Genomic DNA, 26,414 nt, shown 5'->3' on the forward strand with positions numbered 1-26,414 from the left:
TGGGAGTGCCAGGGACGGGCCTTTTACATTTTAGGGGTCCAGCAGGTGTACCAGGCCTGACTTGCTTGTTTAGGATCACATATTTTGTTGCTTTTCCCAGTCTCACATTTCATGAAATATGTCTATGCAAACTCTTCACATGCATCTTCTCATATTGATGACATCACAAAAGCCCTCTTTTGAGTCATTTGATAATTCCCAGTACTCGTCATCTTCACCCATAAGCTATTTGTGCTTCAGAACTCTTTGTCTCCACATATGATGCTGTTTCTGGAAACTTATCCCAAGCCACAAATGCCCACTTATAGAATACCAGTGTTGTTGACTATGTCAGTTGTTCTATAAGAATATATTCTTGATCCTCACAATGTGTCCATTTTTTATGTTGCTTTTGAAAGTGATTCTAAAGAATTTGTTTACAGTGACTTCCAATATTGAGTACTATGAGATTATACACCCACAAATAATTACTAAATCTGTTTAATATCTTTACCTCCTCCTTTACCCATTCATCAATCAACCTCTATAAGCATCCTAAATTAGTATTGATTGAAGTTGTTTTAGGCTAATGCATATTCTCTAAATAGCATATTATTATTCAAAATAAAATAATTGAGAAAATTGTCCCATAATATGGATGGAACCTTTGTAAAGGCCCATATGTAGGGAGAAAAAACCCTCATCTCTATTTGAGGATAAGCAGTAGCAAAAATTTCATTAACTTGTTTAAAATTAAGTGGAATTTAATTTTAAGACTGTGGAATCTCTAACAGTCTTTTACATATAAGGGATTGATTAATGTGACAATTTCAGGAAAAAAAGGAGAATCAGTACACATTGGCCCAATCTCCTACAAATGAGAATCAATACAGAATAAGAGAATTTTTTAAATCCCCAAATCAGCAAAGATCCTGTTCCCTAAGTTATAGAATATTTATTAAAACAAGTGAAATCGTACATTTTAGAAAAAATTTTAATCAAAGTTGAAATTAGAAAAGCATTCTTGAAATAGCTCTCGCCTCTCAGAAAATACAATTAGCACACAACACTGTTTTTCTTGAAGTTCTATTATCAAAGTTTTGCTCTATAGATAAGCATTTGAAAGACCTGTAGCAAGTATTTTCGCCAACATCTTGATGACCTTAATGACCAAAGTTGGATCAAGTGAAGGGGAAAAGCATTTGGTGCCAGACACACCTGGGTGGAAGTCCTGGTTTACTGCATACCAACCATGTGACTTCTGCCACATTACCTGACTTCTTGGAGGCTGAGTCTCATTGGTATCATGCAGATAACAATACCTACTTCACAGGTTTTTGTGAAAATTTGGGATAATATATATGAGGTACCTGGCACAAGATGACTATAAATTTAGCCCGTTGGGAGACAGCATGGACTAATGGAAAGAGACTAAAATCAGAGATGTTGGTTCAAATCTGAACCCCACCGTCTTCTACCTGGATGGCCATGAAAGCATTATTTAAACTCTGAACCCATCGTCCTGCGTGCAGGACTATAGTGTGGACAAGTATATTAATAACATCTGTAAAAGGTCCCAACTTGGTCCTTGGCACAAAATAAATAGCAGCTATTATTGTAAGGAATACTTGCGTAAAGAAAGACAAATTCAAATGATTGGATTATTCTCTGGAAGAGGCACATTCTGGTTCTATTGTTTACAAGTCTTTCACTTCCCTCTCTAACTGTTATGAGTGACCTACCTCCATAATGGTTAATTTGTGTTATGTTGTTCTTAAGATTATAATAGTTCCAAAAAAGAGATGGGGTGAGGAGTGGTGGTAGTTTGAGGGGGCAGAGGATGGGGAGAAAGACAATTGAATCAAAACTGTACTATAGTCAAGTTAGAAGGTATAAATTGTTCTCCTTCCTCTCACTTTCAATCCTAACTATCCATGACCTAAGATATTACTCTTATGTACTTTGTCATATCTTGCATTCAAGAATTTGCAGATAATGCAGTTTTAGAAAAAGTCAACCTCATAGGTTGTTTGTATTGGGCTTCCTTGTTTTTAAATATCATTTATACTCAAATTCAAAGAGTAGCCAACTGCTTCCCAAAATAAAGGAAACTTAAGGTAGTAATTTTCCATCTCCGTTTCACAGAATGCCAAAGTTAAAGAGTCACTACTCAGAGCCATCAAAGGAAGAAAGCAAAGTGATTAGAACAATTTTAAAGGAGGACAAAAATCAAAACAAGATGCAAACAAGGAATAATAGGAATAGGCAGAAAAATAAACATACAGTGATGTTTCTTTATTATGATTATAAAGATGATAGATGAGTAAAATCGAGTTACATTTAAGTTGTAATGGAAGAAAATAATTGCAGCCTTCCATCAGGAAACCACAAGGACCGTTATTGATCTGTCATCCTCAGGGCATGTCTCGTAATATTTAATAAAATAAACAAAGATTTATAACTTTTATAGGCCATATATCTATAATCTCCCACACCACTTGAACTGTGAATGTGGAGTCAATGTTACAAATAACATCCATGTGATTATACTGGTTTGGCATGCCTTATTCCAACAATCTAGCACTCTCAAGAGAATGTATTTTGTATTAGGGATGAAAAATGTGAAGCCAGATTATAGAGTTTTTTACTTATTGTGCTCAAAAATGAGAAAATGTTATCCAATATGAAAAATGTTGTTAAGGATTCTTCATTCTTAATATTAGACAGCCTTTCAAACCTAAATATTAAATATCTTGGCCATATGCCAAATGTAATAGCTACCAAAGCAAAATCTTGCAAGAAAGAAAATCCTTGAGGTATAAAGATTCAATGTACTTTTTAAAAAATGTAAGTAAAAGGTTATTAATTTTACATTTCATTTCTTTTTCTTTCCTAGACACTACTTCATCCTCTCATAGGCTCAGGGAGTCACTGCTTCCTAACTTCTTTATTTTAATTATCCATGCTACTCATTCCACGAAAAGTGGCATATTGCATTATTTTATTAAAAGAAATTTAAAATTAGTTTCTTTCCAGAATTTTGTAACGCCCCCTGAGATCACTGGGCACACCCTTGGGGTGTTAGAAAACATGTTACAAAATGAACCTTTAATTCCTTTTGCTTTTTCCCTTCCTCTTGCTGACTGCTCTTTAAACCATTACATGGCTCATTCACAAGTCTCTCTACCCCAGGAAAGATGAAAAAGCAAAGGCATGATGTTTTTATAACCTAATAGCAAGAGAACACAGTGCTGAAGCTGTCACCAAAACTGTGGGTAGGTTTTACCCGTGGGTTATATTAATTCATGATATGATTGATAATATCTCTCACTTGTGTGGGGAATGAAGCGTTAACTATGCCGCATGCATTTTAAATTAATTTGACATTATTCTTAATGTCCTTTCAAGCAGGTGGCATTATAACCTGTGTCTTATTTAGGTAGTTGATTTCTACACGGAGATTCATCTGATAAAACTGATATCGCAAACGGGAAGGAGTTTGTACAAAATGAAATAAATCTTAAAGTTGATTTTTGTAAAGCCCAAATGTTAATTAAAATCTTTGAATCCACAACTCTGATACATGATATTTTCATTGACATAAACATGATTAGCGATTTCTGGAAGCATGTGGGATGCTGCATTGATAAGGATATGAACCTCCTTGAGTAATAATGTATATTTTTACTCCGAATACTGTTTCACATTTTGGGTGTTACATCCTTACTTCAGACTTCTGCCTTATCAGTGGCCATCCCACCCTATGTTCTTATCTCCTCAGTCTAAAAAGAAAAATGGGGACCCATCAGAATTTGGATAGAAGACCCTCCAGGAATTTCTGCCACTGCTTATTCATGGGTTGGCACAGACACTGATTCAGTGGGCACACAGAGTTCAGAATGATTCAGAGCCCAGATATGTGCCCTAAGTCACATCTCCAGCGTCCAGGGAGGACTGTAAAGTGCTCGTTATCAGGAAAATGAAACCAAGGGCTCAGCTACTCCTGAAGTCATTAAAACTCCTTCCCTTGATTTTTTTTTTTTTTTTTTTAAATAGTATATGTGGTAACCGAATCTAGGATCCTGGATACATTCCAGTCTGCTAATTACATATTTTTTTCTAACTAAAATGTTCCAGGCAGGTTCATTTGCATGTGAATTACTTGCTGAGCCATGTTGACTTCCTATTCTAAAAGCCTCACTCTGCCTTGGGAAGCAGTTTACTGCACTTCACCCTAGACCTAGTCTAATGTTGGAGCAGACAAAGTGTAGCTACCCATATATACTTCAAAAATATTTTCCAGTCTCCCCACAAGAGGAAAGAAAAATGTCTAGCAATTGCATGCTAATTTAGACCAAAGCTTTGTTTTAACCATTCTTGGTGATCACAAATGGGGAAAAATGATTTATGAACAGTATAACTATAAAACAAACAAAAAAAAACCATTGTGAATTCAGAGTGAAGTCTGACTTCATTTGTCTTATTTGGGTAAATCAGCAAAATGTTCATCAGTCAGAGGACATTAAAATGGTAGATGATACTTCAAATCGTGCCCTAGATAAAAGGAGAGAATTAAGGTTAGTTTTGATTTGTAAACCATTCTCTTCGAAGGCTGATTTTATAAAAATTAAGTTTGCTGAGTCATCATCTCAAAATATATAGTTATTCATGATTAGTTAAAATTTGTGTCTGTGTATCAAAGAAGTAAATTTGTATGATATTAAATTTTCTAACAATGTTTTAAATTTTAAAATGTCCGATTAACACTTGCATCTAGCAACCAGTCTACTAACTAAACTATAGGTGAAGTCATGCTCAGGAAATGGGGAAAATGCACAGATTAAATTGGTCTGTTAGCTCTGAGTGAATCAATAGTATTTAGTGCTAATGCACTAAGGAGATTACAAGCACTAATGCAGTAGCAGTCAATAGCGAAAACTAATATCTCTAAAAAATATCTTGACAATAAAATGTGCAATATTTTCCATTTATCTTAAGCTAATTACATTACCTGCTTGTTCTTTCATCTTATTAGTTTAAGCCAAGTGCTAGAAGCCTAACCATTTTATTTAGTGCATAAAAGGGCCAAAACCTTGTAATCATTGTTTTCAGCAGGAGACAGAGGAAAGGATTAATTCATGTAACCAAGATTCAACCAGAAATTCAACAGATATTTATTTAGTCTCTAAACCTGATAGTATTACAATGGAGAATGAGCTAGACTGTACCTGTCTTCAACAAGCAGATAGACTAGTGAAGATGACAGTAAACATTCAGTCACACCAGTGAACAAATACATCATGATAATTTATGAAATGTGCTGTGAGGGAAATAAACATCTGTGAATGCAAATGAGAGGGAATATCTAAATTTGGTAGTTGAGTCACAAAAGGCTGTCCTGAGGAGGTGAAAGCTAACCTTTATATAAAGCTTAAAACTTTAAAAAAGCAATACGTCTTTAGTACACAGGCAAATATATAAACTAAATATATAAACTAATAGTCATTACTTATTTCACAAGCTTTACATCTTAACTACAAGCTGCTACATTAAATCAGCTTTCTTAAGTGGTTTGTGGTCATTAGTGCATACTATCTTACACTTAGAAAAACATTGCAAGAAGTAGTACAATGCTGGAGAATTTAACTTTTTAAAACATTTCCTGCCTTAAAATAAACAGCAGTAAATGTGTTTAAACATTCTTTTGATTTCTAAATGAATTAAGTTACTTTTTATTATGTGGTTCTTCTTCATATGAAGAAAATAATATGTAGATTACTAGAAGCTAAGAACATACTTTAGATCCTGCTCACACTCACTGCCTTTCCTGGCCTGTCACCTTAATCAGCTTCTTTGAAAATCACTGTTTCTTACATAGGCCAGGTTGTTTCTTCCTTGTTTCCCTCTTCTTCCTTCTATGGCCAACCCTTGGGACCCCGTTTGTCAGAAGAACATGTTCCTCTTTGGGGAGGAGGGGATTGTCCTTTTACCAATAAGTTTTATGACCAAGAGAAACATAAGAATCTGAGAACACACAAAATAAGCTCTTTTGAAACTATCAAAATTATAAACATTAATAGAATTCAAGGGAATGTGATGCTGAAGTGATCCCAAGTCACATTGTCTTTCTGCCTCTGTGCACTGTACTCTGCACAATTGCATCCATTTTTAGACCATTTCCTTCTCATGAGAATCATGTGCATGGAGGGCCAAAGGAGAGACAAGTGCTCACAAGGATATCATGAGCACTTATGAATGTACAAATGAGTGCTCTCCAGTCAGTGCCATCTTTATATTGTTCCGGTTTATAGGCAATGCCTTCATCTTTACCTACAGACACATGTTGCCTTTCTGTTTCATTTTAATCCTGTTCATCTATACATATTTAATCACACAAATATCTAAATAAGTTTATGTCTTGTAGGGAAGGCACTTTGTCATGCTTCTTTGTACCTAAGCATATGCTTTGCAAATCATAAACAATAGTGTTGATTTTATTTGATATAAAAACTTGGATTCTCAAAAGAAATCTATGTGTTCACACGATAAACAGAGACCATCTGAATTGCCAAAGTATGACTGAATCATAAGCAGTATTGTTTTAGTCATCTTTACAGACCAGGAAGATTTGAAATACAGGTGTAAAAAGATGTGTGAGGCATCAAAAGAAATATTCACCTTTCTTTGTGTTCATTTTTTTTATTTTTGCTTGGCCGAGAAAGAAGGGGTGTTTTCCAAGGGAATAGGAGGCTTCAGGGCTTATTCCTGTGCCTACAAGTCAGAGAGGTCACTGGCTTGCCCCTTCCTGAAGGCTGTAATTACAGGCAGAGGACTATTTATTTTCCCGTAAGGCGACCAGAATCTTGAGTGTAAAAAACTGTTTACAAGAGTACACTGTGTATAGGGGTTACACACAACCTCAGGAAAAATAATAGGAAAGTGAGACTATTTTTCTTCATGTATTCAATAATATGAGAAGGTCCAAGACTCTGGAAATGTTCTAAAGTACAATAATAGAGATGAATATGAGGTCAAATTAGGTGATCCTGGGGCTTAAGGAACTGAATTAAATGAATAAAGAAGAGGAATTTCTAATAGGGCATAATCTAACTGATAATTTGTTAAATGTAAACTTATTTGTGGCTCCAACATCATGGTAAACAAGAATGAATAAATGTATTAGTAAGAGTAATTGAGAAGTATTTCTAATGTGAAAAACACCAATTACATTGGGTTTATCTGGCGCCAATGTGGAAATAAATGAGCAATATTTCTTACTCTCAACTAAACTTACTCTCACTTTCAGAACTGTTATAGGAAAGGTATTGATTCAAGTAGAGTTGGGCATGCAAAGCACAAGATCAATTCTGTTACTGGCCTGATATTAAGGATATTAGTCAGTGTTTGAAAAAATGATTTGTAATATATAAGTAGTAGTTTAACAAAGTAGGTAAAACTTGTAATTAATTTCAAAAGGTCAAAGCAGAGATTATTGACATGTACAAAGAGGACCCGCTTTATATGTGCCTGCTTTGAAAAGTAATACCGTAGTATGGTAAATTGTGACTAATTCTGAGATTTTCTGTCTAGATTCTTTTTAAAACCAAATGCTTAAGAAAAAAACATGAGACATGAGTAGCAATTACATTTTTTAGGCTGAGTAGGTAGCATAATTGCCTCATGCCTGCCTCCTGTCTCCATTTGTTTTTAGTAGATTTTGCACAGAAAAACATGTTGACCTCGGTACTGAAATTTTGGAGTTCACTATTTGCGGCACAGTTACAGATCACAGAAAAAAATGTACAACAGGACTTCACCACACCTAACAAAAGAAAGTTTTCTTATTAAAAAAAAAACCCTCCAAATTATTGTGAGATCTAGGGTAACCATGGTGTTAACTATATGCTATTTGATATCTTATAACCCTGGTGATAAGATAACAATCCAATTGAATGCAGATGAACTCATGAAAAAAGAAGGATTATGAAATATTTGGAAAGTAAACACCTAAATTTTCATAAGTAAATATTAATTATTTGTGTGATCTTTAGATATGAAAGCTTCCCCTGCATGCACTTGGCTCTTGGAACCAGCTGTTAAAACTCCCAGCACCTTAGTTAATACCCTGTATGCTGGTGGTTCAAGAACTAGTTAAGAAACAGTCACATTTTCTATTTTCACTGCCAATGTATAATAAAATCTCTGTTCCAGTGAATGGCTGGCCAATTATTTTAATAACGATGTTGGCATGGCTTCATTTTACCTTTCTTGCTATTAGCAAAGCTTTCCTTTTGTACTCTGAAGTACGGGTAAATCACAAATTAAACTGAGCTGTTGTTTGTTTAATGCTGTGTTTCCTGCTAACCTTATTCTTGTCTATCAACCTGAACGTAGTTCCCCAGTGGCTCAGAAAACCCTCAATTGGGATTAAGTAATAGTTTACACAACCTTGCTCAGTCATTAACCTGTGTTGACTTTCTCATTCTTGTGTTCCAGCCTCATTTAAGAGTTTCTTAAGCACTCTATCCAGTTGCTGGTTTGGTGACAACTAACAATACCTATTTAATCAAGAAATTTAATATTTCCAAGGAATCATTTATCGTATCTCAGACTTCTTCATTAACATAATCTAATTCAGTCTTGTATTCCTTCTTCAAAATAAAGCCTGGTTTCATTCATAGTAAATATGAAGCTTAAAAATTTTTACTTCTTTTCTTCTCTATACACACAAAGCAGAAAGAGAAAATTGTATATTATCATTCCAGACAGGTTTTTTTTTTTGTTTAGTGTATTGACATTGATGCCAATAAGATAAAACTAGACCTCAGTGGCTCCTCCTCAACTCCACCCAATCTATTTGTCTCCAAAGTGCTGTTGGAGTAAGTAATCTTTGTTAAGAGCAAACCTATTTGTATATCTGATGATAATCTGAGGGATAATAATATGATATTTAAGGAGTTTCTGTCCTTGGCCCTGACTATTTCCTGGTCCTCCTTCACGCCCAGTGATGTGCTGGTAAATGTTAAACTCTGGGGGGAGGGGCAGCAGAAGCCCCTAATTTGTAGCATTTGCCAATTTCTATGGTGTAAATATCCCACTGAGCCAGTTTCAAGGTACCACTGAAACAGCGTTAGTCACTGAACAACAATGAGGAAGAGATGTACACACTTGGCTCTGTGAACTGTTATGAGATGGTTCAAGCACAGCACTGCCACCCTGTCCTACACGCAACCTGTCATTCTTGTAGTTCCCAGAATCCATCAGCCTCCCTCACAACCCTGCCTTAACACGTGTAGCTTGGTCCACTTCAGATTCCCTTTAACACTCATTTTGTCAAGTGAACACTTTTTCCCTATTCTTTAAAACTTCCATGCTGGCATTTTCCTTCCCCAGGACATTTTTCCCTAGCCTTCAACTCATCCCCTGCCCCCCATATTCTGGATTTGTTGCGTTTCCTGAGCACACCAGTAGCACTCTGCTTATTTCTACCATGTCTCTTATCACACTCCGTGGTAATGTGTCCAACAGTTCCATCGTTAGCCCCCTGAGGGGATGAACTATGCCATTTATCTCCACAGTCCCAGCACCTAATACAATAGCTTGAACAATATATACATTTATCGGATGAGCAAAGAAGTATGACAGAGCCCTGTATGTAAAATATATTACTATAAATAGAATGCTGATTCATAAAAATAATTATTTAGATAAAACAGTTTTTCCGTCTCTCCCCTAAATCCCTAAAAACTAATTTATAGAATTGGGGAGTTTTCAAGAGCTAAATTAGCACTGGAGAAAAACTGGGGAGTTTTACTCACTATTACCTATGCCCCTCCCGTCCCCCCCACACACACCCTCCTTCATTCACCAGTCTGCAATGAAGATTGATCAAAGAACAAAGAAGAAGAAAAATGAAAGAAAAAGGAAAGATTAAGATAGGGAGGGTGAATAGATAGGAATTCCAGAGTTTTGTAATCGAAATTTGGAACTCAGAATTAAAGTCATTAAAAGGAGAAAGAGGGAATACTTTCTCTGCTCCCGTAAGGTTTTCTCAAGCCTTTCAACAGCACTCACCCTTTGAGCGGGTGATACCATCTGTAAGAGGGACTTTACGCAATGCTTTAGTGGGCGTGGCTTGAGCAGTGACACCAGTAGAGATACCCCCTTGAAACTTTCATTTGAAGTCCACAGATTTTCACTATTGGTCACCAATCCATGATTTCAAGTTGAAAATGATATATGGGTTAAGGAAAAGAGGCCGGGCGCGGTGGCTCACGCCTGTAATCCCAGCACTTTGGGAGGCCGAGGTGGGCGGATCACGAGGTCAGGAGATCGAGACCATCCCGGCTAAAACGGTGAAACCCCGTCTCTACTAAAAATACAAAAAATTAGCCGGGGGTAATGGCGGGCGCCTGTAGTCCCAGCTACTTGGGAGGCTGAGGCAGGAGAATGGCGTGAACCCGGGAGGCGGAGCTTGCAGTGAGCCGAGATCCCGCCACTGCACTCCAGCCTGGGCGACAGAGCGAGACTCCGTCTCAAAAAAAAAAAAAAAAGGAAAAGAAGTTAAGGGCAAAGGTCTTTATCAACACCATCCTTCCTGTGGCCACAGGATCGTAATCCCAGTGGCAACATTCAAAGGCACCAAGTACGTGCTTGGTACAGAGAGAAGCTTTCCTGAGCTTGGCCTTGGTGTAGATGCAGTGAGAACTGAGTAAGGGCCTCTGGCAGGGACCTTGGCTGCTGAGAAGGGGAGCCCACAGATGGAGGTTTCTGATCAACAGGTCCTATCAGAAACAAGGGGAGCAGATAAGTAAAGAGTCTCACTCCACGGTGGCAAGATGGAAAGGAGGGATAAGAGGTCATGACAGTTGGATTAATGGCAGGCTAGAATATAGTCATGGGCTTGAACGATATATTGGGACACAATTGAAGGACTCTTGTTTCATCCATCGTTCATCTCTCCTGGCCCTCTGTGAAGACATTTATCACCTGTTTCTATTGAATGTGACACTGTTAGGCACATAAACAGACCATGGCTCTTACCACCTCCAAGAAGAACTACTTCTGTTTTATTTGTTAGTGCAGGGTAATTGGTGTTGTGTCTTCTGAAAATCTCTTATACTTCTATGAGTAAGTGCATTGAAATTGTTTCTGTTAACTAAGTAGAGGAAAGCAGAAAACCTCTTTGCACTAAGCATTAAAACCTTCCTAACTTGGAACAATTTTCTTTATGAATCACTCTGTCACTCCTGGCTATGATTGAAGTGCAGTATGAAGGCTGCTAACCAAAAACACATGGACACAGTCTGTTTCAGATCTGATTCACCTTAGGAAATGATGATAAAGAAGCAAAAGTTTTAACACTTAGAATTCCAAGGTCCATATCATTGTAGAATTGATTCTTTTGAATTGTGGTGGTACCTCAAGAGAAAGGATTTATTTATTTCATTTATATTTAAATGCGTTTGTATACATATGTATATAAACCCATATACACATATACATAAAATATATTCTGCTCCAAGTATTTATCTCTCTTTTCTCTTTACTAATCCAGCTTCCATTAAGAACTGGCTCAACTTCGACCTCTGCCATGAGCCTTCTCCAGCTGTTTAAGCCCACACAGATCTTATTTTTTTCCTAGTCTTAGAGGATTTACTGCCAGTACAGTGTTTTCAGAATGTAACTATCAACTGAGTTCTTATACTTTGCATCAGTTAGCTATTGTACGTGTCAATCTTTTGTCTCCCTATGTAGAGGCTAGACCCAAGGTAGAAGCATTTGCCAGGATTGACAAACGATAGCCTGTTTTTATATTCTCAACAAGTGAAAACTTATTTTGTTTATATTTTTTTCCCTTTTTATACAGTTAAACACTCACATGCACGCACACACACACACACACACACACACACACACAGGCCACAGGGACCCTATGGCCCTCAAAGACTAGCATATATTCTATCTAGCCCTTTCCCAAAAAACATGTGCCAACCCCTGCATTAGAGAATAGTGTAAAATAATAGTGGACAGATAACAGGTCCACAAATTTTGGAGAGCCATGGATGACCTTACTTATGAACTTAAGTAATTCTCTTCAATAGGTGTGAGTGTTTCCATTTTACAGATGATGAAATTGAGGCTCATTGATCTAAACAATTGGATTTTGTCTTCATAGGCATTATGAGGGCTTACTAGACCAACAATAGTGATAATAATAACTGTTTAGTTGCACAAGGCAGGGATTTATGTCTTTTTTATTTGCTGCCATATCCTTCAGCACCTAGAACAGTCTGTCACATGGTATGGTATTATATTCATTTTCCAGAGCTCCCATAACAAATTACCACAAACTGGGTGGCTGAAAACAACAGAAATTTATCCTCACATGGTTCTGGAGGCCAGATGTCTGAAATCAAGGCATCAGCCAGGGCCATGCTCCCTCTGGAGGCTCTAGGGAGGACTCCTTCCTTGCCTCTTGCAATTCTGGTGTCCCAGGCATCTTAGGTTGTGGCAGCTTTACTCCCCTCTCTGCCTCCATCTTTATGTGGCAGTCCACCATGTCTCTCTGTGTCCCCTCTTCTTATAAGGACAACAGTCATTGAATTCAGGGCACTCACTAAATCCAGGATGATTTCATCTCAAGATCCTTAACTAATCACATATCAAAGAGCCTATTTCCAAATAAGGTCACGATCTGACTTTCCAGGTGGACATGAATTTTGGGAAGACATTATTCGGCCTACTGTAGGTCTTCTAAATGAAGTGACCATTTAATATGTTTCTGGCACTGGATTCATTTCATTTAAGCCTCAAAACAAATCTGTTATGTAGATATGTGTTTTCCCACTTTACAAGTGAAGAACTGAGGTTTAGAGATCTAGGAATCCTAAAGCTGCACAGCCAGGAAGGGCAGGGCCACCCCTGACCCAAGTTCTCTGCTAGGTTAGCATGGTTGTCACAGGACAAGCTGAGAAGGTATTTAGGGAGCATTACACTAAAAAGTTGTAGAAGTCGGCTTAAGGAAGAAGATTCTAAAATCAAAGGAATCAGATTGTAGGAGGCCATGTAGGCAATTTCCTTTAATTCAATAGAAGAGAGTATAAGAATCAGCCAGGCATGGTGGCTCATGCCTGTAATCCTAACACTTTGGGAGGTCGAGGTGGAAGGATTGCTAGAGCCTGTGAATTCAAGACCAGCCTGGGCAACATGGCAAAATCCCATCTCTACAAAGAAATACAAAAATTAGCCAGGTATTGTGGCACATGCCTGTAGTCCCAGCTACTCTGGATGCTGAGGAGGGAGGATCTCTTGAGCCCAGAAGGGAAGAGGTTGCAGTGAGCCAAGATTGTGCCACTGCACTGCCGCCTGGGTGACAGAGCCAGAGCCTTTCAAGCAAGCAAGCAAGAGGGAAGGAGGGAGAGAGGGAGAGAGAGAGAGAGAGAGAGAGAGAGAGAGAGAGAGAGAGAGAGAGAGAGAGAAAAGAAACGGAGAGAGAGGGAGGGAGGGAAGGAAGGAGGGAAAAAGAGAGAAAGAAAGAGAAATATGAAAGAAAGAAAGAGTAAGGAAGGAAAGAAAGAAGGAAAGAAAGAAAAAGAAAAGAAAGAAAGAGAAAGAAAGAAAGAAAGAAAGAAAGAAAGAAAGAAAGAAAGAAAGAAAGAAAGAAAGAAAGAAAGAAAGAAGATATGAACAATAAAGGAAAGACTCAAAGATGGTTCAGATCTCAAACTTACGGAGAGGGTAGCTATTGATGCATTGAGAAATAGGAAGCTGGAAGAGGAAATCAGTTTGGAGAGAAAAGTGATGGCTTTGAACATCATCAATGGCGTATTCAAACATAGCTTGAAGGCATTTGCAGAGACAGGGCTGGTCCTCGGAAGAGATGGCAACGGGGTGTGTAGAGTTAGGTCATCACCACGAGGCTGTGAGGGCAGAGCCACAGTAGCTTCCATCACCTTGTGAATCACCAGTGCTCAGCCCGTGGCTGGCTGGCCGGATGCCTGCTTATGCTGTGCTCCCGGCTGTCTGGCTGCACACACAACCGCAGAGCATGCCCTCTCTGGCTAGGGCAGAAAGAAATTGAAGCCTCTTAAATTTTGCCCCCCCCAGCTTTGCTCCCTTGCTAGGACTTCCAGGCCATGACTATTGAAGCCATAGGGCAGGATTACTTCCTCAAGAGGCGTTAGTGGAAACAGATGTGTTGAGGAAGCCTCTTTCTTTTCAACTGTGCCCTGAGCACATCAGATGGAGTCCTCTTCATAGCACAAAACAACTTGGTCAGATTCTTAGGGTTTGACCACAGCACCCTAACAGCCTGGCCGTGCATTAAGGACCCCAAAGAGAAGGATCTGCTTTGCCAGAGAGCTGACTCTTCTGTATTTTACAGACAATTCTGAATTCAATGTCAACATCTTAGACATCTCAGTACAGACAGTAAAGAGTTAAAATATGTCTATAAGAAACAGCGCCAGACCCTGAAATTGAAAGCTCTGTGCCTCCCTGCGTGCAGTCAGTTCCACACTGTCCTCTCTCCCAGTTCTATTTAATAAAAAAAACACATGAGTGAAATTTAGGGAAATAAGAATTCCTGAAATTAAAGCAATTAAGTTTTCAGTCAACTGTATGAAAAGCTCTAGACAAAGAGGTACTTTCTATTTCAAAATATGTATTTCCCAGAAAACCATTACCATATCTAGCTAGAATTTCTACAAAGAATGATTATGAATAAAGTATATATTCAAATGCTTCTGGTAATTTAGTCATGGTCAAAGAGGAGAGAAAGGTGATACAAGTGAACTGGCAAAGATTTTACAAGATAGTACATTTTTAAAAATTTTATTTGCAAGACTGATTTAAATTATCTATAGATGAGCTAAATCTGTCCTATAGATCAATTAAATGAATCACTATTTTAAATATATCACATTCTTAATTACACTGAATTAAATATAATTACATATTCACTGCATACATCATAATGTTAATTAGGGGAAACATTTTGAATCAAATATATTGAGATATATAGCACTTCAATTTTCTTTTTATAAAAAAAGCTATATGACTAAGTCAGGTAAAAAGAATCTGGCAAGTACTCATAGAAAGCTAAAGGAAGACTAGATTAATTGATGTATCACATCAAGGCTTACAAATTGTAGAGGAATTCCTATTCTTTAACTCTATGACAGTATATAAGACTTTGGGCTAAGGAAGCAAGTTTGCAACAAGTTTTTAAAAAATAATAAAACAGGAGGCAGGGCACGGTGGCTCACACCTGTAATCCCAGCACTTTGGGAAGCCGAGACAGGTGGATCACAAGGTCAGGGGTTCAAGACCAACCTGGCCAAAATGGTGAAACCCAGTCTCTAATAAAAATACAAAAAAGTTAGCCAGATATGGTGGCGGGCACCTGTAGTCTCAGCTATTCAGGAGGCTGAAGCAGGGAATTGCTTGAACCCAGGAGGCGGAGGTTGTAGTGAGCCGAGATCACGCCACTGCACTCCAGCCTCGGCGACAGAGCTAGACTCCATCTCAAAATAAATAAATAAATAAAAATTTTAAAAAATAAATAAAATAAATAATAAAACACATTGTTTACCATTGTTTCTCAGAGACATACGATTATTTTAGAAGTGGATAAGCCTTTTTTTTTTATACTTTAAGTTTTAGGATACATGTGCACATTGTGCAGGTTAGTTACATATGTATACATGTGCCATGCTGGTGTGCTGCACCCACTAACTCATCATCTAGCATTAGGTATATCTCCCAATGCTATCCCTCCCCCCTCCCCCCACCCCACCACAGTCCCCAGAGTGTGATATTCCCCTTCCTGTGTTCATGTGATCTCATTGTTCAATTCCCACCTATGAGTGAGAATATGCGGTGTTTGGTTTTTTGTTCTTGCAATAGTTTACTGAGAATGATGATTTCCAATTTCATCCATGTCCCTACAAAGGACGTGAACTCATCATTTTTTATGGCTGCATAGTATTCCATGGTGTATATGTGCCACATTTTCTTAATCCAGTCTATCATTGTTGGACATTTGGGTTGGTTCCAAGTCTTTGCTATTGTGAATAATGTCGCAATAAACATACGTGTGCATGTGTCTTTATAGCAGCATGATTTATAGTCCTTTGGGTATATACCCAGTAATGGGATGGCTGGGTCAAATGGTATTTCTAGTTCTAGATCCCTGAGGAATCGCCACACTGACTTCCACAATGGTTGAACTAGTTTACAGTCCCACCAACAGTGTAAAAGTGTTCCTATTTCTCCACATCCTCTCCAGCACCTGTTGTTTCCTGACTTTTTAATGATTGCCATTCTAACTGGTGTGAGATGGTATCTCATTGTGGTTTTGATTTGCATTTCTCTGATGGCCAGTGATGATGAGCATTTTTTCATGTGTTTTTTGGCTGCATAAATGTCTTCTTTTGAGAAGTGTCTGTTCATATCCTTCGCCCACTTTTTGATGGGGTTGTTTTTTTCTTGTAAATTTGTTTGAGTTCATTGTAGATTCTGGATATTAGCCCTTTGTCAGATGAGTAGGTTGCAAAAATTTTCTCCCATTTTGTAGGTTGCCTATTCACTCTGATGATAGTTTCTTTTGCTGTGCAGAAGCTCTTTAGTTTAATTAGATCCCATTTGTCAATTTTGGCTTTTGTTGCCATTGCTTTTGGTGTTTTGGACATGAAGTCCTTGCCCATGCCTATGTCCTGAATGGTAATACCTAGGTTTTCTTCTAGGGTTTTTATGGTTTTAGGTCTAACGTTTAAGTCTTTAATCCATCTTGAATAAATTTTTGTATAAGGTGTAAGGAAGGGATCCAGTTTCAGCTTTCTCCATATGGCTAGCCAGTTTTCCCAGCACCATTTATTAAATAGGGAATCCTTTCCCCATTGCTTGTTTTTCTCAGGTTTGTCAAAGATCAGATAGTTGTAGATATGCAGCGTTATTTCTGAGGGCTCTGTTCTGTTCCATTGATCTATATCTCTGTTTTGGTACCAGTACCATGCTGTTTTGGTTACTGTAGCCTTGTAGTATAGTTTGAAGTCAGGTAGCGTGATGCCTCCAGCTTTGTTCTTTTGGCTCAGGATTGACTTGGCGATGCGGGCTCTTTTTTGGTTCCATATGAACTTTAAAGTAGTTTTTTCCAATTCTGTGAAGAAAGTCATTGGTAGCTTTATGGGGATGGCATTGAATCTATAAATTACCTTGGGCAGTATGGCCATTTTCACGATATGGATTCTTCCTACCCATGAGCATGTTCTTCCATTTGTTTGTATCCTCTTTTATTTCCTTGAGCAGTGGTTTGTAGTTCTCCTTGAAGAGGTCCTTCACATCCCTTGTAAGTTGGATTCCTAGGTATTTTATTCTCTTTGAAGCAATTGTGAATGGGAGTTCACTCATGATTTGGCTCTCTGTTTGTCTGTTATTGGTGTATAAGAATGCTTGTGATTTTTGTACATTGATTTTGTATCCTGAGACTTTGCTGAAGTTGCTTATCAGCTTAAGGAGATTTTGGGCTGAGACAATGGGGTTTTCTAGATATACAATCATGTCGTCTGCAAACAGGGACAATTTGACTTCCACTTTTCCTAATTGAATACCCTTTATTTCCTTCTCCTGCCTGATTGCCCTGGCCAGAACTTCCAACACTATGTTGAATAGGAGTGGTGAGAGAGGGCATCCCTGTCTTGTGCCAGTTTTCAAAGGGAATGCTTCCAGTTTTTGCCCATTCAGTATGATATTGGCTGTGGGTTTGTCATAGATAGCTCTTATTATTTTGAAATACGTCCCATCAATACCTAATTTATTGAGAGTTTTTAACATGAAGGGTTGTTGAATTTTGTCAAAGGCTTTTTCTGCATCTATTGAGATAATCATGTGGTTTTTGTCTTTGGCTCTGTTTATATGCTGGATTACATTTATTGATTTGCGTATATTGAACCAGCCTTGCATCCCAGGGATGAAGCCCACTTGATCATGGTGGATAAGCTTTTTGATGTGCTGCTGGATTCGTTTTGCCAGTATTTTATTGAGGATTTTTGCATCAATGTTCATCAAGGATATTGGTCTAAAATTCTCTTTTTTGGTTGTGTCTCTGCCCAGCTTTGGTATCAGAATGATGCTGGCCTCATAAAATGAGTTAGGGAGGATTCTCTCTTTTTCTATTGATTGGAATAGTTTCAGAAGGAATGGTACCAGTTCCTCCTTGCACCTCTGATAGAATTCGGCTGTGAATCCATCTGGTCCTGGACTCTTTTTGGTTGGTAAACTATTGATTATTGCCACAATTTCAGCTCCTGTTATTGGTCTATTCACAGATTCTACTTCTTCCTGGTTTAGTCTTGGGAGAGTGTATGTGTCGAGGAATTTATCCATTTCTTCTAGATTTTCTAGTTTATTTGCGTAGAAGTGTTTGTAGTATTCTCTGATGGTAGTTTGTATTTCTGTGGGATTGGTGGTGATATCCCCTTTATCATTTTTTATTGTGTCTATTTGATTCTTCTCTCTTTTCTTCTTTATTAGTCTTGCTAGCGGTCTATCAATTTTGTTGATCCTTTCAAAAAACCAGCTCCTGGATTCATTAATTTTTTGAAGGGTTTTTTGTGTCTCTATTTCCTCAGTTCTGCTCTGATTTAGTTATTTCTTGCCTTCTGCTAGCTTTTGAATGTGTTTGCTCTTGCTTTTCTAGTTCTTTTAATTGTGATGTTAGGGTGTCAATTTTGGAACTTTCCTGCTTTCTCTTGTGGGCATTTAGTGCTATAAATTTCCCTCTCCACACTGCTTTGAATGCGTCCCAGAGATTCTGGTATGTTGTGTCTTTGTTCTCGTTGGTTTCAAAGAACATCTTTATTTCTGCCTTCATTTCGTTATGTATCCAGTAGTCATTCAGGAGCAGGTTGTTCAGTTTCCATGTAGTTGAGCGGTTTTGAGTGAGATTCTTAATCCTGAGTTCTAGTTTGATTGTGCTGTGGTCTGAGAGATAGTTTGTTATAATCTCTGTTCTCTTACATTTGCTGAGGAGAGCTTTACTTCCAAGTATGTGGTCAATTTTGGAATAGGTGTGGTGTGGTGCTGAAAAAAATGTATATTCTGTTGATTTGGGGTGGAGAGTTCTGTAGATGTCTATTAGGTCCTCTTGGTGCAGAGCTGAGTTCAATTCCTGGGTATCCTTGTTGACTTTCTGTCTCGTTGATCTGTCTAATGTTGACAGTGGGGTGTTAAAGTCTCCCATTATTAATGTGTGGGAGTCTAAGTCTCTTTGTAGGTCACTCAGGACTTGCTTTATGAATCTGGGTACTCCTGTATTGGGTGCATATATATTTAGGATAGTTAGCTCTTCTTGTTGAATTGATCCCTTTACCATTATGTAATGGCCTTGTCTCTTTTGATCTTTGTTGGTTTAAAGTCTGTTTTATCAGAGACTAGGATTGCAACCCCTGCCTTTTTTTGTTTTCCATTTGCTTGGTAGCTCTTCCTCCATCCTTTTATTTTGAGCCTATGTGTGTCTCTGCACGTGAGATGGGTTTCCTGAATACAGCACACTGATGGGTCTTGACTCTTTATCCAATTTGCCAGTCTGTGTGTTTTAATTGGAGCATTTAGTCCATTTACATTTAAAGTTAATATTGTTATGTGTGAATTTGATCCTGTCATTATGATGTTAGCTGGTTATTTTGCTCGTTAGTTGATGCAGTTTCTTCCTAGTCTCAATGGTCTTTACATTTTGGCATGATTTTGCAGCGGCTGGTACCGGTTGTTCCTTTCCATGTTTAGCGCTTCCTTCAGGAGCTCTTTTAGGGCAGGCCTGGTGGTGACAAAATCTCTCAGCATTTGCTTGTCTGTAAAGTATTTTATTTCTCCTTCACTTATGAAGCTTAGTTTGGCTGGATATGAAATTCTGGGTTGAAAATTCTTTTCTTTAAGAATATGGAATATTGGCCCCCACTCTCTTCTGGCTTGTAGGGTTTCTGCCAAGAGATCCGCTGTTAGTCTGATGGGCTTCCCTTTGAGGGTAACCCGACCTTTCTCTCTGGCTGCCCTTAACATTTTTTCCTTCATTTCAACTTTGGTGAATCTGACAATTATGTGTCTTGGAGTTGCTCTTCTCAAGGAGTATCTTTGTGGTGTTCTCTGTATTTCCTGAATCTGAACGTTGGCCTGCCTTGCTAGATTGGGGAAGTTCTCCTGGATAATATCCTGCAGAGTGTTTTCCAACTTGGTTCCATTCTCCCCATCACTTTCAGGTACACCAATCAGACGTAGATTTGGTCTTTTCACATAGTCCCATATTTCTTGGAGGCTTTGCTCATTTCTTTTTATTCTTTTTTCTCTAAACTTCCCTTCTCTCTTCATTTCATTCATTTCATCTTCCATTGCTGATACCCTTTCTTCCAGTTGATCGCATCGGCTCCTGAGGCTTCTGCATTCTTCACGTAGTTCTCGAGCCTTGGTTTTCAGCTCCATCAGCTCCTTTAAGCACTTCTCTGTATTGGTTATTCTAGTTATACATTCTTCTAAATTTTTTTCAAAGTTTTCAACTTCTTTTCCTTTGGTTTGAATGTCCTCCCGTAGCTCAGAGTAATTTGATCATCTGAAGCCTTCTTCTCTCAGCTCGCCAAAGTCATTCTCCATCCAGCTTTGTTCCGTTGCTGGTGAGGAACTGCGTTCCTTTGGAGGAGGAGAGGCGCTCTGCGTTTTAGAGTTTCCAGTTTTTCTGTTCTGTTTTTTTCCCCATCTTTGTGGTTTTATCTACTTTTGGTCTTTGATGATGGTGATGTACAGATGGGTTTTTGGTGTGGATGTCCTTTCTGTTTGTTAGTTTTCCTTCTAACAGACAGGACCCTCAGCTGCAAGTCTGTTGGAGTACCCTGCCGTGTGAGGTGTCAGTGTGCCCCTGCTGGGGGGTGCCTCCCAGTTAGGCTGCTCGGGGGTCAGGGGTCAGGGACCCACTTGAGGAGGCAGTCTGCCCATTCTCAGATCTCCAGCTGCATGCTGGGAGAACCACTGCTCTCTTCAAAGCTGTCAGACAGGGACATTTAAGTCTGCAGAGGTTACTGCTGTCTTTTTGTTTGTCTGTGCCCTGCCCCGAGAGGTGGAGCCTACAGAGGCAGGCAGGCCTCCTTGAGCTCTGGTGGGCTCCACCCAGTTCTAGCTTCCAGGCTGCTTTGTTTACCTAAGCAAGCCTGGGCAATGGCGGGTGCCCCTCCCCCAGCCTCGCTGCCGCCTTGCGGTTTGATCTCAGACTGCTGTGCTAGCAATCAGCGGGACTCCGTGGGCGTAGGACCCTCCGAGCCAGGTGAGGGATATAATCTCGTGGTGCGCCGTTTTTTAAGCCGGTCCGAAAAGCGCAATATTCGGGTGGGAGTGACCCGATTTTCCAGGTGCGTCTGTCACCCCTTTCTTTGATCCCTGACCCCTTGTGCTTCCCAAGTGAGGCAATGCCTCGCCCTGCTTCGGCTCGCGCACGGTGCACGCACCCACTGACCTGCGCCCACTGTCTGGCACTCCCTAGTGAGATGAACCCAGTACCTCAGATGGAAATGCAGAAATCACCCGTCTTCTGCGTCGCTCACGCTGGGAGCTGTAGACCGGAGCTGTTCCTATTCGGCCATCTTGGCTCCGTGGATAAGCCTTAAAAGGCTCAATACTTTTTAAAAATTTCCTATAAAATCCAGAATCTATCTAGATTTTTGAGCAGCCTGTAGTGGTTGGAGGACCATGATTGTTTACTCATTTGGTCACCTAAACATCCCAAGCAATGATTTGTTCTGACAGCAGACTGATAACAGTTTTTTTTACTCCTTGGAATCGGAAAAAAAATCAGCAAGGGAAGCTTTTGGAAGCCACCCGGTAGAGCTGGAAGAGAATTTCGAAATCAATTCGCTCAACCTCTCCCTTTACAGGCAGAAAATGTGCTAGATTGGAGGTGAAGACCCTGGAGCCAGAGAGCCTAGGCTTAGTCCTAGCCCTGCACTGAAGGTAATGTGAACACTCAGTGCCTCAGTTTCCTTCTAGGCTTCTTGTTCTGAGATTCCATGAATTAATATTTGTAAAATGCTTAGAACTGTGTCTAACACATTGTAAACACTAGGAACAAATGCTAAGGTCATGCAACTCATCAATGCCTCCCTGGGGTAGAACCAGCCTTGGCCCATGGGCATGCTCATTCTTCTTTTAGACAAGGCTCTTAGGCATCCCTAGAGTGTGGGTTGGCCTTCCTATGCCTGTACGTAAGAAGTATGATGTAATGTAAGGAATATAGGATTCAAAATCAACAATTAGGATTCAAATGCTAATATTTATTGACTCAACTCTCTGAATCTTAGTTTCTTCATCTGTAAAATTATAATGATCATAACAAACCCAAGTCACAGACTTGTTCAGAGGAGCAAATGAGATAATGTACTTTGAAAACCATAATCTACTCTGCAAATGTTATGTAACATTATAATTGTGAGTTCAGCAAAGCCATGAGAATGTTTCAAAACTGTTTAGGACATCAAGAAGTTGGGGTGGGGAAAATTCTTAATAGGTTTTCTCCATATCCTCATTTTCCATTTATTCATTGTTTTAAAATTTATTTTTCTTATGATATACATATATATATATATATATATACACACACACAAAAGAATTATGTACGGTCCTGCATTGCTTGCATTCTGAGAAATGCATGAATAGGCAATTTTGTCATTGTACAAACATCATAGAGTGTACTTATACTAACCTAGGTGATATAGCCTACTACACACCTAGGCTGTATGGTATGACCTTTTGCTCCTAGGCAACAAACCTGTACAGCATGTTACTCTGCTGAATACTGTAGGCAATTGTAACACAATGGTAAGTATTTGTGTATCTAAATATATCTAAAGATATAAATATGTCTTTATAAGTATACAAATATATCTTTAAATATACTAGTATATATTTATAGATACAAATGTATAAATATATCTATAGATGTACTAGTATATATATTTATAGACTAGAAAAGGCACAGTACAAATATGATATTATTAGCGGGGTGTGGTAATTCATGCCTGTAATCCCAGCACTTTGGGAGGCTAAGGTGGGAGAATTGCTTGAGCCCTGGAGTTTGAGGTTACAGTGAGCTACGAACACATCACTGCACTCCAGCATGGGTGACAGGGGGATACCCTGTCTCTCAAAAAAGAAACTAAAACAATAAGATAGAATCTTATGGGACCACCATAATATATTCAGTCTATCACTGATTGAAATGTCATTATGCAGCACATGACTATATATATGTATATATATATATATATATATATATATATATATATGGGATATAAAACAAATACTCATATCTCTACCACCAGGCTCAAAAAGGGAATATTACCTTTGAAGTCCCCTGAATATCCCATCCTAGCAATATTCCTCCCCCTCCTGGAAAAGTGGGTAAACAACAATTGTAAGTCATGTGTTTGTCTTTCCTTTGCCTGTAGTTGCGCTACACAGGTGTGTGCCCAGAAAATATTCTTTATTGGATGCATGGGGTTTCCTTCTTGACTCAGAGATCTCAAGCTATACGGTATCTTCCTGCAGCCTTATAGTGTCCACCTTATTCTTTGTCACTATTTCCCTTTCCCAGCCAATAAAGCACATTACCTCTGTCATTCAAATGAACTCGTAAAGAGAGATTTTAGAAAAGAGCTGGTTCACCTCAGGTTCACCTGAGCAAGGAATGGGTGTCAGTGACTGTGGAAAGTGGAGCACAGCTGCCAGAGCAGTGCAAGGACCCAAGAAATGGGAGGGTCTTGACTCGGGATAACCACTCTGAGATTCATTGGATGTCCTAGATTGTCACCTTGCCTTACACCTTAAGGGAGAAAAGGATAAAAAGATAAGGCAGATGTGAAAGCTATACTAAGGAGCTTAGACTTTTCCTGCAGGCCTTTGGGAAGCAACTGAAGCTTTGAAGAAGGGAATGACAGCTTGAGACTGCTTCAAGGCAGAAGAGATAGGAGACCAGAAGGCCAGTGAGGAAGCACTTAGGCTGGGCCAGGGGTACAGGTGTGGCTGGAAGGGCTGCCCAGAAGCACCACTGTGGACCAGGCTGAGCAGGACTGAGTGACTGGTTAGATATAGGAAATGCCAGAGAAAGAGAAGGTGGTGATGACTGAAATTTCAGAGTTACCTAAATGCAAGCATGGTATGTTCATAACCAAAATAGGTAGCAAGGAGAGCTAGGTTTGAGAGCCAAGCTGATTAGTACAGAATGCGAGTGGTTATCTCTGCTGTTTCCAGAAAATAAAGATTAATTTCAGCCTTAAAGTCAGGGACTTAAATGAGATGATCTCGAAAGCCCTTTCCATTTTTGTAATTGTGCAATCCTCAGAACGTTGCCCAGAATAGTAAGCAGAAGCAAAAGAAATTCAGGAGTTTGAACATAAGAGAGAGCTGTTCTCTGATGCCTGCTCCAATGGGAACTGGGCACTGTGACTGAGCCCTCGGCTCACTGAGTCTCCTCCTGAGGAGTGTGATAAAACCTCACAGGGCTGCTGTGGGTCTTATTATACATGAAAATACCCACCTCAGTGCCTGGCACATTCTGGGTGCAGGAAAAAGTTTGATTTCCTCCCTCCCTTCCTTCCTTCCTTCCTTTTTCCTCCCTTTGTTACCATAGGAGAGAGTCAGGCTGGTTCCCTGCGGGTGCTGGTGTGAAACCTGCTCTTTAGACTCTTCTGCAGTTCCCCAAAGCAGCTACTGTCCCAGAGAACTGCTTTCTGCCAGCAATGCTCAGTTTTACCCTAAGACACGATAACTCCTGGCTTTGAGGGAAGCACAGGTAGCAAGGGGACCCCTGACAGCAAATGTGTAGTTGTTCTTCCAGCTAGGCCCCAGCCCCACCTTAAATGCCACATCCAGGCACTGTGTCTACAGTGCTGAGATAAAGCAACCCCGTCTTTTCCACACAAATGAGCAGCAAACATATTTGCTGATTATCTTTGAGGGACATAATGAATCAGACTGAGATTTAGTCATATTTGCACAATGCTTTACATCTGAGATACTGAAAGCTTAATCCAAGGTTTCCCTGTTAGTTGAAGTCCTACTGTTAGGGCTCAAAGACAGGGTGCAGCTCTGTAAGCCAGTCCCTGATGCCTTGATCCCAATCATTGAGTTTATCAGGATTCTCCATAGGAAGACACAAGGAGCACCTCTGCTGCAGCAAATGCTGGAGTGTTAGTTTTTCCTAGAGGCTAGTGCCTCAACACCTCTTCTGCAGATCTCAGCTATGGAGAAAATGAAAAAGAAAAAGGTTAGAGTCTCCTGGCTTATGAAATTTGAATGCCACTTGAACCTGACATATTTATTTTTTAGCTCTAAATCACACAAGATCAAGAAGTTCTGCAGATCCTATTCCAACATTGTGCAATGTCTCTATATTTACAAATTTTATTTGATGGGGGGGGCAATAGAGACATAATTTAATCCTATTAGTTCTTGAGGAGATACTATTTAGAGATCTCACTAATTCCTGTCCTGAAGGAGAAGACTTGAAGTGTGCAATATAAATATTGCATTAACTCTAATACAGAGTTCTACATTTACGCCTTACATGTGTGCAAACAGGTGCACAGAGGCTAAAGTTCTGGTTGTATTGCTCTCCCTCCATTTACAAAAGATCAGTGAGTTCCTGCTTGCAGATTCTCTGAGGAGACCCTTAGTTTCATCTCCTCTTCATTCTTCTGCTGGCCTGATTCAGCAAGACCAACCACAAAGCAAACTGAGTAGGCAAATGGGCTTTATCTCTGGTGACTTTGCAGATGCACTAATTTTTCAGCAGGCTGTCATTAAATGCCTACTGGGTGCTAGGCATAATACAGGGTCCTGGGGATAAAAGATGATAAGACAATTCCTGTCCTCTTGTTGATAGAAGGCAGGTAGTTTGTGGTCAAAGACTCTCATTCACACCCACCAGATTGTTTTTATATCCCAGTGAATCCATTATGTCTCTGGCAGCACCACACACCAGGTCAAGTTTGAGGCTTTAAAGTTCCCAGGATGTCACCTAGACTTAGAGATGAAGAAACACTAACAAAAGAAGAAACAAGACAACCACAAAAACCTGAGCCTGAAGAGCTGCCACCTCTATAATGGAATATTTCAAATGGCCTTAGATTTAAAATTGGTCTTTGCTCCTTTAAGCAGATTCCCTTAGCTCTGGCTATCTCTGCAAAATGGATGATTGATCACCAATAGAAACTTAATTATCAATTAATCGGTTGCTATCGAATTGCTGGTACATCTCAGTTATCTGCTACTCCTCAGAGTAATCCATAGTACTTTAGTGAAGAAATACTTCTAATTAAACAGGGAAATAGCACTTGCTAATATATCAAAGTAAATGACTAGACCTAAAACATTAGTATTAATTACAAGAGTCAGTGGGT

General features: G+C 39.2%; 1 protein-coding gene across 6 annotated transcripts in view, besides 4 other annotated features; it reads left to right on the forward strand.

The window, feature by feature from the left end:
* The window catches only part of MET (MET proto-oncogene, receptor tyrosine kinase), a 126,182-nt gene that overhangs the window by 30,683 nt on the left and 69,085 nt on the right, over window positions 1-26,414 (forward strand). The window lies entirely within an intron of this gene.
* Window positions 1,883-2,610: an enhancer blocking element, noted in NCBI's record as "conserved region 5 (CR5) negative regulatory element (NRE) in the greater CFTR locus". NCBI's record gives its function as "strongly blocks activation of a gamma-globin promoter by the HS2 beta-globin enhancer when located between the enhancer and promoter in the forward orientation in transfected K562 cells {active_cell/tissue: K562}" and the evidence as "EXISTENCE:reporter gene assay evidence [ECO:0000049][PMID:18436892]".
* Window positions 20,856-21,642: an enhancer, noted in NCBI's record as "H3K27ac-H3K4me1 hESC enhancer chr7:116363788-116364574 (GRCh37/hg19 assembly coordinates)". NCBI's record gives its function as "activates a minimal SCP1, AML or CMV promoter by ChIP-STARR-seq in naive and primed H9 embryonic stem cells {active_cell/tissue: H9 hESC(naive and primed)}" and the evidence as "EXISTENCE:reporter gene assay evidence [ECO:0000049][PMID:30033119]".
* Window positions 20,856-22,149: a biological region, named in NCBI's record as "CDK7 strongly-dependent group 2 enhancer GRCh37_chr7:116363882-116365081".
* Window positions 20,950-22,149: an enhancer, noted in NCBI's record as "CDK7 strongly-dependent group 2 enhancer chr7:116363882-116365081 (GRCh37/hg19 assembly coordinates)". NCBI's record gives its function as "activates an origin of replication core promoter dependent on BRD2, BRD4, P300/CBP, MED14 and CDK7 cofactors, with strong dependence on CDK7, by STARR-seq in HCT116 cells {active_cell/tissue: HCT116}" and the evidence as "EXISTENCE:reporter gene assay evidence [ECO:0000049][PMID:35650434]".

Source organism: Homo sapiens, chromosome 7, assembly GCF_000001405.40.
Source record: "Homo sapiens chromosome 7, GRCh38.p14 Primary Assembly".
Lineage (NCBI taxonomy): Eukaryota > Metazoa > Chordata > Mammalia > Primates > Hominidae > Homo > Homo sapiens.